Here is an 11,576-nt window from a genome sequence, read left to right as displayed (position 1 = left end):
GTCAGTACCCCCTTGCAACACAGCAGGAGGCACATAATGTCAGATCTCCTACTATAAGAAGATTAAAGAGATTAACCAGAGGCCTTATCATGCAGGCACCTTTTCTTCTTTGTGCTTTTGAACCATGAATAATTTAAAGTGTATTGTTAAAGTGTATTGTTTAATTTTTAAGTATTTGAAATTTATACTTCTTTGGAAGAAAAGTTAAATATTAAATATGAACTCGATTGAACGTGGACACAAAGAAAGGTCACCAAGTCCTGGAACAGGTTGTGTGAGCCCCTTGAGGCATTCATCCAACACCATTTCCGAGAAATCTCTGTTTCAATCTGTTCCTGTATGTTAGTTATTGAAAAACAAGTTGACCTTTTTGTGTTCCTTGAGCCCAGTCATGAATGGCCCTTGTGACTGGGCCTCACACCAAACAACTCATTACACAAAGAGGTAAGGTCCCAGACCACGCCAAAGCTTCCTGAGACCTCTCCTCATCTGTGCATGGACGGATGACCAACTCTGGGGCCCAGGCTGTTGCTTCCCAGTATAATGATGAATCCGCCATAGTCTGGTGAGTGTAGAGGCTGACTCTGGAGCCCAGGCTGTACCTTCTCGGTCTGGTGATGAATCCTCAATCGTGTGGTGAGTGTAAATATATATATATTTTCCCTTCTCCCCTTCCCATTGCAATTTGCTTATTACATGATTTGCTTATCATATGATTTGCTTATTATATGATTTGTTTATTATATCTGTATTGCCATATACTTGGGATAAAGACTGTTTACCCTTAAAAGTATTGTGTGTGTCTTTTCCTTTCCCCTTGTGCATTTCCTGCACAGAACAACTTCTTAGAAATATTATTGTTGATGATTTCTAATTCAATACAATTATTGTAAGAGAACATAGTCAATATGCTTACAGTTATTTTAAAATGTATTAAAACTTGTTTAAGGCCTAGCTTATGATCCATTTTTGGTGTACTTGCCATATGCACTTAACAGAAGTTTATTCTTCAGTTGTTGAGTGCAGCCTTACTATGAATGCAGTTAAAATTTCCCTGCATGCTCATGGAATTATATATTTCTATCTTTATTTCTGTTAAGTGTTGCTTTATGTATTTGGAATGCCATTTATAATGCACATGCATATTTACAGTTGTTATATCTCTCTGATAAATTTTCATATTTGCCATAAAATCATGAAATGTCTCTGTTTATGTTAATACTCCTACACTTTAAGTTTAACTTATCTGATTATGATATAGTGACTCCAGCCTTTTTGTTCTTACTTATGATGCCATTTTTTTAATATATCCATCTATCTTTCTTTAACCTATCACAACATAAAGTTGGCTGCAGCTTTTTAATGAGTTTTATTCATCTCAACTTTTATGTTGGAGTATTTATTCCATTAATATTTAAATGTCATTATTGATATTGATATGTTTGGATTCACATTTACAATTACTCATTTGTTTTCAACTTGTTCCCTTTATTTTTGTCTATTTCTGCTTATTTTCCTCTTTATGACTGAATTAAATATTTTTTCAGATACTCTTTCATCTGTTTTTCATGACTAAATATTTGCATTTTTTAGCTTTTCCTCTGGCCGTTGTAATACATATTGTTAACTTCCAAAGTCTATAAGGGGTTAGCACTGTTTTTCTTCACATAAAATATAAGACCTTTAACATTATTTTATTTACTATTATTTAGCTTATCTTTACAGTAGTCACCTGTGCCTGTGTGTGTGCCTGTGTATGGATGAATGTATATGTTTATATATGTATATTTATTGACTCATACACATATATGCACACATATATACCTATTTATAAATTCATATGAATGTATAAATTGAAGGCAAGAAATTATATATAATACATATATAGTATTAGATACATAATACTCAAATATAATATATTGTCTTCAATTTATATGTACAATGAATTTAATACATCCAATAGATTTATATATGTTATATAAACATATATTTTTTATATATATATATATATGAAAGCTGGTTTTACTTTTTTTCTATAGAAGTGATTTTCCATGTTGTATCATTTTTCCTCAACTTGGTGTACTTCCTTTTTTCTGCATTTTTTTTAAATGGAAAAATGTAGAGTCCTCCAACTTTATTATTTTTCAAGACTGTTTTGGCTATTCATGTTTTCTTGAAATTCTATATTAGTTGTAAGATGAGCTTGTCATTTCTTCAAAAAAGGCAGTTGAAACTTTGATAGCTATTGCATGGAATCTCTACACCTATTTGTGCTGTATTGCTGTCTTAACAATATTATTTTTCAATGCATGAATATGGGATATCTTTTCATTTATTTATCTACTCTTTAATTTCTCTCAAACTTGTTCTATAGTTTTAAGTATACAAGTCTTGCATCTCCTTAGCTAACTTTATTTCTAAGTGTTTTATTCTTTTTGATGTTATTGTAAATAAAATTGTTTTCTTAATTTCACTTTAAGACTACTAATATATAAAAATACAGCTGATTTTGTATGCTGATGTATGCTGCAACTTTTCTGAATTAACTTCTTAAATATAATAGTTTTTATGGATTGCTTATGGTATTCTATATATAAGATCATGTCACCTATGAATAAAGAGAATTCTATTCTTTATTCCCCAATCTGGATACTTTTTACTTTTATCGTTACCTAATTTCTCTGGCCATAACTTCTAGCACAATATTGAAGAGAAGTGGAAAAAAATCCTTTTTTTGTTTTGATCTTACAGAAAAACTTTTAGTCTTTCACCATAAGTATGATGTTAGCTGTATATTTTTCTTACATGCCTTTCATTAAGTTGAAGAAATATTCTTCGATTCCTATTTTGTTGAATATTTTATTTTTCCTAGTTTGTTGAATATTTTATTTCAGAAAAGGGTGATGGGCTTTGTCAAATGCTCTTTTTTTTGCATCAGTTGTAATAGTTATGTGCTTCCCCCTCTTCATTCGATTAATGCAGTGTGTGACATTAATTTTTTTTGTGTTGAACCACTCTTGTATTCCATTAATAAATCCTACTTTTTCATGATGCATATTCTTTTTAAAATGTGCTCTTGGATTTGTGATATTGGTCTGCAGTTTTCCTTTCTTGCTATGTTATTACTTCATTTTGGAATCAGTTATATTAGCTTCACAGAATTAGTTAGGAAATGTTATGTATGTAGGTTTTATGCATTTAAAAAGTGGAGAATTCTTTATTCAAACATGGTTGAAGATTAATTCCTCCCTCAGATAACTACTGTTCATAATCTCTTTGAAGTTCTGCAGTACTTTACACTCTTGTATCCTGATACATTTCAGTTATTTTATACTATATATATATATTTATCAGATATATACATATATACATGTATATGTATATATGTGTGTGTCTATGTATATGTGAGTGTGCAAATGTGTGTGTGTGCAGGACACTTATTCACATCTTATAAAATGAGTGTTCCTTGAAATGCACTTTAAAAGTCTGCTTCTTATTTGTGAGCATTATAAACATTTTAGATTCTACTGTACAGTATATATCTGGTAGAAAGAAAGTATTTGAGAACCATTAGAATGTCTCTGTATTGTAGCACACAGGTGGTTCTATATCTTAGCTCCATTTTGTATACCCTTAGTTTCAGAAGAGAATAACTGTCTTTTTTACTTTTGGTTATCATTAGCTCTGTGCACTTTTTCCTTTATATCACTAACAGGTGTAGCCATCATGGTTTAGGATGATTCTTGGAAGTATTGCATTTCAGTGTGGTAAGAAAATAATAATGTGATATAGTAGATATATTGAGGAGAGTAAAATTTGTGCTTGTTTTTGAAAAAATAAACTAATAAGTGCATGTAGTTGTAATTGATATAAACCATACAATATTTAATTAATGAAAAATTATACAAAATGGTGCTTTGGATAGAAGAGCTAAGAATAACAGCTCCATTTGCTTGAAATATTTCAGTATTTAAATATTCCCTCAAATTGACAGGAGAACAAGAGAAAGTTCAATTATCTTGCAGTTTCATTTCATCTCACTTTTATTTTTCAATAAACAATACAATATTTAACAATACATTATTCAAATATTCTCTCAAACTGACAGGAGAACAGGGGAAACTTCAATTATCTTGCAGTTTCATTTCATCTCACTTTTATTTCCCAGTTGGTCACTCAGGTAACAAGAGATCAGAAAATGATGAACTACTAAATATTCTAGCTCAATATTAGATATGGAATTGAGAAAAGAAAGCTGGAAAACTGAAAGTTTTTAAACTGTATAACTTTTACTGATGTACCCATATTGACAGGGGAAAAGAGGAGGTAAAGTATGGCTAACCATGATTTGTTTTGGAAATGCTGTATGGCATACAGAATGACAATCTGACTAACATGACATGAAAAATCTATGATTTTAATAAATAATGCTACTTTACTCACAGACTTTTAACTTATTAAACTTCATAAATGGGAAAAATCAATGCTTACTATACATTTACTGAAATATATATGAGTGTATGTGTGTATACACACGTATATCCATATATATATAATTTTTAAAGAAAGATGCTAACAGTGCTTAATCTTTTTTAACTTTTAATTTTGAGGTAATTTTAGATTCACATTCAGTAGTAAGAAACAATACAGAAATTTCATGTAAAATTATTACCCAGTTTCAGTGTTAACCAATGATAATATTTTTCCTATAGTACTGTGTCAATTAACATTTATACAATTCACCAAACTTATTCAGGTTTTACCAGTTTTACGTGCACTATTTTGTGTGCATATATTTAGTTCTATGCAATTTCATAACATTTGCTGATTTGTATGATCATTATCAATGTAGAGATATAGAACAGTTCTATCACAAGTATCTATTGTGCTACCAACTTCAGACCAGAGCCATCTTTCTACTTCTCCCCCAAAAGCTCTGGCAACCACAAATCTGTTCTCCATCTCTTTAATTTTGTCTCTTCACGATTTTTCTGAAAATGGGATCATACATTATGTTACCTTTCGAGATGAGCTCTTTCACACAGCATAATGCCCTTGTAATTAGTGTGTACATCACTAGTCCATTGGTAAGCAGTATTCTATGAAATGGATGGTTTAGCTCATCACATATCTTATAACAGCTGAGTCATTTCTGATTTTGAATATTATAAATAAAGCTGCTTGAACATTAGTGTATAATATTTTTGTAAACAAAAATATAGCCATTCTCTGGGATAAAGGTCAAAAAGTCCAATCGTTGTGTCATATGGTAATCAAATGTTTAGTTTTATAAGAAATTGTCAAACTGTTTTATAGCGTGTTCAACTTTACATTCCCATCAGCAATACATATAGGATGCAGTTTCTCTTTGTCCTTGCCACTTGTCACATGTTTTTGTTTTAGTCATTTTAATAAGTTTGTAGTAATATTTAATTGTAATTTTAATCTGTATTTTCTTAATGGCTAATGATGTTGAAAATTACTCCTACTTATTAGGCTTCCATGTCTTTTTTTCAGTGAGATGTCCCATCAAACACTTTGCCCATTTTAATTGGATTGCTTTATTTGCTTATATTTACTATGTTTTTACAAAGATGTCTTTATATACTCTAGATATAAGTTTCTTATCAGATATTCAGGTTGCAAGTATTTTGTCTCTTCATAGCTTGTATTTTCATCCTCTTTATGGGGACTTTCACACAGCAAATATTTTCAATTTTGATTTCCAATTTATCAATTTTTTTCATTTTATGGGTCATGTTTTTGGTGTCGAGTCTACGAACCACTTGCCTAGCCCTAGATCTTAATAATTTTCCTCTATGTTTTTTTTTCCTAAGGGTTGTATAGTTTTATATCTTATAGTTAAGTTTATAATCCACTTTGGGTTAAGTCTTGTATAAGACGTGAGAATGATGTCAAAGTTTACCTTTTTTTCTGGTTAATATGTACCCAGTTGCTTCAATATCATTTATTTAAAAGGGTATCTATTTTCCTGTTTAATTGCTTTTTCATCTTTGTCAAAAATCAGTCTAGCACATTTGTGTGAATCTGTATTTGGTTTCTCTTTTTTTTCCCATTGATCTATGTGTCTATTCGTCTAACAATATTGCATTGTCTTGAATAGTATAGCTATATAGTAAGATTCAATATCAGATAGAGTGATTCCTCCTACTTAATCCATATGTTTTAAGATTCTTTTTCCTATTCTAGGGCCTATGCCTTTTTCATATGGGGACCTGCTTAAAGAAGCAGTCTGGCCATGCCTTTGTAGAGCAGCTGTGCTGTGCTGGGGTACTGCTTATGCACTGGTTGGCTTGAGCTTTCCAAAGCCCACAAGCTGGAATGGCTAAGTTGCCCAAACAGCAAAGATAGCAGCCCTCCCCTCCCTCTGAGAGGTTCCCTTGGTTCCATGTCACTCCTGGGTGGGCTGTCGTCCTGCTTTATTTTTCTCCATTCTTTGTGGGTCAAGTTGTTTCCTTGATTAGTCCCAATGCGAGTACCTGGATGTTACTGTTGAAGCTACTGTATTTACTTGCCCCTTCCATTCCTCTCTGTGAAAGCCACACATCTAAGCCGCTTCTAGTCCTGGTGGGGTCTTAGGGGAATTATACTAAGTGGAAAAAATGTAAATCTGCAAATGTTTCATACCATAGGATTCTGTGTATACAGCATTCTTGAAAAGACAAAATAATATTAGTGAAGAACAGATTCGTGGTTTCTAGGGTTTGCAAAGGTCTAGGGAGAAGGATGTCAATGTGGTTGTGAGAAGACAACATGAGAGATCCTTGCGGTGATAAAATTATCCTATATCCTGACTGTGGAAGTGGTCACATGAATCTGCATGTGACATGTGATAAAATTTCACAGTATGAAATAAACACACAGACACTCAATGACTCAATGACTGTGTGTAACACTGGTAAAATATGAATAGATAGAGTGTATCAATTTCTATTTTTTAGTCATGACAATGTAAAATAGTTATGCAAGGTGTTACCATTGGGGGAAACTAGGTAAAACTATATAGGATTTATCTGATTATTTATTGCCACTACATGTAATTCAATAACTACCTCAAAAGAGAATGTTAATAAAAGGAATGAAGATATTATTTTTTAGCTGATATGGAGTGAATTATAGGATATAATGTAAATGCTAAAAAAGTGAGAAAACAAGATGCTAATGAAAATATTTATTATATATTTGGTGGATAGGTAAAGAGTGATGGAGTAAAATTGAAGCAAGACTACTACTTTTCACTTAATTTTGAGTTTTGAACATGTAAATACTTTAAATACTCAAAAAATTAAATTAAACACAAAAAGATTAAAGAAATACTCTGAAGATGTGGATGAACCCACATTACTAACTAAAATAAAAACACATACTCTGATTCTACACACTTGGTGGAATACATTCTAACGACAAATGTTAGCACAACAAAATCTCAACTTTTACTTTTGATTTTGGTAGAAGTACTCGTGTGGTAACTTTGAAGTTATTTTATGTTTACTTGAAGATAGAAGACTGTCATGAAATATTGATATTGTTGGAAACTTGAGTTCTCAGTAGGAAAGAAAAAAGATAAACATACAAAATAAAATAAAGCATCCTGTGGTACTGAATTTGAATTGGAGGTTACAGTATGAACCCATGATTTCACTAAAAATGTATTTTCTGACTCTGACTACTAAAAAGTGCTCAGAAAATATATCGTGTTATTTCCTGTGATTGCTGTAACAAATTATCACAAATTCAGTGACTTAAAACAATCAAAATTGACTTGCAATTCTGAAGGCTAGGATCCAAAATAAGTACTGCTGGGCCAAAATCAAGATGTCAGCAGGGGTCTACTACTTCCCAATGTATCTAGGGGAATAATCTATTCCTTTTCCAAAGTCTTTTATTTTTAAATTTGATCATATTTTCACGTATTCTGTTTCTTGGAGCATATTAATCATATATATTTTATATTACGTGTTCAATAACTCCAATTATAAAATATTATGATGTCTGATTGTGCTGTCTTTTGTGTTTAGTGTTTGTAATTCATAGTAACTTTTTTGTGAATTTTGTCATTTTTGAATGTAAGATAACATGGTATTTTGTTTTTGGAAAATCATTACGGCAGGCTTCTATTTCTTCAAAGAGGGTTTGTGCTTACTTCTTCCAGGAAATACTTTTAAAATTATTCCTGCATTAAGGTGAAAGTCATATATATTTACTTACATAAGTCAGAATTACTGTGAAAGTCATATATCTTTATTTACATAAATCAAAATTTACAAGTGGCTTATTGTGTTTATTATTTAATACACATATAAGATATTAGTAATGCATTCCCATTTGGGGGGTTAAACATATTGGTAAACACATTTTATTTCAATTTTTTTCTTTCAGATCAACTCAGTTATATGAAAAAAAAATCATTAGGTGAAGCTCCACATATACTTTGACAATTCTGTCCTAAACACAGATATCTTGTCATTGCAATGTTCTATCTCTAAACTTTCACCCCTACAATCTTTAGGATAAAGTCATCTGATACATTTTAGAGTAGTGATATCATTTCTGTTTAATATAATTTAATTTCATTTAGAAACTTTCCGTGTTTTAACTCATTAGAGTATTTAGTTAGCCATTAATCCATTTTGTAGAGGCATTTGTATTGTGTTTATGTTTAGTGATAGCTTCATACTAGCTTGACCATGTTATTTAAATTTTAATTTAACTGCACAATAAACCTAATATTGGTATATATTTACAACTAAGAAACTACTTTTATTCTTTCTTATGTTTGTTAGTTTTTTTTAATAAGATGTGTTTTATTTTGACTGGCCCATGTATCTATTAAATTAGGAATCATTAGACATTTCTAGACGATTTTGTATTTGGCTTGGTTTTTCAAAAATAATTCTAGTGTATATTAAGTAGGATTTGTTTTATGTTCTACTTATTCATATCATGTTTTTCTTAATTGTACAGCAAACTGACTTTTTTATAGTTTAAATAAAAATACTTTAACATATAGAACTAATTAATCATGTTCATAATAATATTAATCATCATAATAATCATCATAATTAGTGCTTTCCTTAAGAAAAAAAATACTTATTTTATATATCCTTTTCAGTTTCTCATCCTTTAAGTCAAATATTTGTTATAAAATATTCTTAAAAAATCATATTTATTAGTACTGGAGAATGAGAATAAAAGTGCTATGTGAGTATGTTTATAATGCAGATAAAAAATGAACTAAGGCCAAATGCGGTGGCTCACGCCTGTAATCCCAGCACTTTGAGAGGCCGAGGTGGTTGGATCACGTGAGGTCAGGATTTCGAGACCAGTCTGGCCAACATGGTGAAATCCTGTCTCTACAAAAATACAAAAATTAGCCCGGTGTGGTGGCACATGCCTGCAGTCCCAGCTACTGAGGAGACTGAGGTAGGAGAATCACTTGAACCCGGGAGGCGGAGGTTGCAGTGAGCTGAGATCGTGCCACTGCACTCCAGCCTGGGTGACAGATGGAGACTCCGTCTCGAACAAACAAAAAAATGAACTAAGGTGATAATATTTTCTGTACAATGACATTTTCCTCAATAAAATGAATAGAGAAGAAAAAAAGAAATAGATTAAAATTGTGAACACTAGGTTAAAGGAGAACTTAAATATATAATAATCACCAATACAAGCTGATATTCAATAGATCTAGACATTACATTGAGAAGCTGAGTGCAAAACTATAAGCCGTTTTTGTAATAGTTCCTTATGCACATAATGCCAGCTCATTTGTTGTTGAAAAGATATTCAAAATTATCCATATTACGTAAAGGAAAGAATGAATTTATTCATGAATATAAATGTACTCATTTCTTGTGCTGTCTTAATCTATACTTTCTCCTGTCAGCAATAGCAAGCATGTATAGGTTTTACTTCGGTCATCACTCAAAATGAATGCAATCCAAAGCCGTTACTTTGCCACTGAGAGTTAACCTTCAGAGACCTCTTTATGAGTAGAAGTGTTTTAGGACAGCTATAGCTTTACCATTGACCTTTTTCTTTTTATTTTTGCCTTTAGTTTTTAATTATCTGTCATTTGTTACCTGTGAATTTGACCTAGGAAAGAAGATAGGTAGCTAACATACTCAGAGAAATGCAATATTGTTCCCACTTAAAGATACTATAATAACAGCATCACAAAAATATGCCTGAAGGCTACATAAATTCAGCATCTATGAACAACGAAATAATCTTTCATTTTTCACATTGATTTTGTTTCAATTTACAACAAAGGACTAACAACAGCAGCTGCAAAACAGTGATCACACATAATGTGATCTGTAAGCAAATGTTTATTCACGAAGTACCCATTTCTCTTCCGGTGCTCTCCAGCTGACTTGTTGCTCAGCATGTAGTGTAATAATCACCGCATGGTACACTAGCAGGCATGCAGCGACCAGCAATAAGGCATCTGCTATGCATTCAAAAACAAATATCAAATGTAATTCTCCAGAAATTTCTTATGGATTTTATGTAGACTAGAGACTATTTGTATCTTTTAGGAGACATCTTTCTTAGAACAAAGGTATATACATGTTTATTATTTTGGTGCATGAACTTTTTCAAAGATGCTTGCAAACACACACATGCACAAGTAAATCCTGATCTTTCACAAAATTTGAAAGGCTCATTGTCCTGTATATAAGGAGGCTTTTCTATTTTGATTGGGTCTCACAGTATAAACTCATCATATACATATGAGTGTGTATTTTTCTTCACATAGCTAACTGAAATAAAAGTTTTATGAAACTTTCAAGTGTTATCTGACATTTTTATCCTTTTTCTTTTCTTTTCAATTTCATTTAAAAACCCTCTGATTGTGATTCACTAAATTGATCTCATAAAACATTGTCATGACCCTTTATTTCAAAATCACTCCTACAGCATGTACAACATATACATGTACTGAAACATCACACTGTTCCCCATAAACATGTACAATTATTATGTGTCAGTTATAAACAAAATAAAAAGTTTTTCTATAAATGTTATACCACAATATTGAATGTTGATATTTGTATTTACTTCCAACTAAATGGAATTACTATTGTATTACTTCAGAATTGTTAATAGAGACTGTACTAAATTTGAAAAATGTGTACTTCTGTGAATACTCCTAATTTTTGTAAATTCTATAGAAAATGTGTTGTATACAGTACTTTTTTAGTTCCTGAATATCATTGTGTATACTTAAAAACATTAAAATGTGGACAAATTTATAAGGAAATTATTCTTATCAATAACTCTAATCACTAAAAATTACTTAATCTTTGATATTGGAAATTCATCAAGTTTATTTCTGTGTGAAGTTTATTTTTGTAGAGCACCACCTGTATGCTTCTCCTTGGTTATTTTCATCAAACTATGTAAGAGATAGAATGATGTTAGTACAGCTGATTTATTGCAGCTCCATTTTCTTCTTATCTTTACATTCACCAGGTCAGACCTAAGGGGCTAATTGAGAAAACATTTTCTTCTAGTAAAGTCTAATTTGGAAGAAATTCCCAGAGAGAACA

The 11,576-nt window shown here is 31.2% G+C and overlaps 1 long non-coding RNA gene across 2 annotated transcripts in view; it reads left to right on the top strand.

Moving 5' to 3' along the window:
• The first annotated feature begins 417 nt into the window (after positions 1-417).
• Positions 418-11,576, top strand: part of LOC107985704 (uncharacterized) — a 76,931-nt gene continuing 65,772 nt past the window's right edge. For both annotated transcript variants that reach the window (XR_001755915.2, XR_001755914.2), the window contains exon 1: positions 418-636. This is a non-coding gene — a long non-coding RNA (uncharacterized LOC107985704). The remainder of the gene's footprint in view (positions 637-11,576) is intronic.

The sequence above is a fragment of the Homo sapiens genome, chromosome X (genome assembly GCF_000001405.40).
Source record: "Homo sapiens chromosome X, GRCh38.p14 Primary Assembly".
Taxonomy (NCBI): Eukaryota; Metazoa; Chordata; class Mammalia; order Primates; family Hominidae; genus Homo; species Homo sapiens.
The sequence above is the reverse complement of the archived record's forward strand: the minus strand, read 5'-3'. Positions and strand labels throughout refer to the sequence as shown.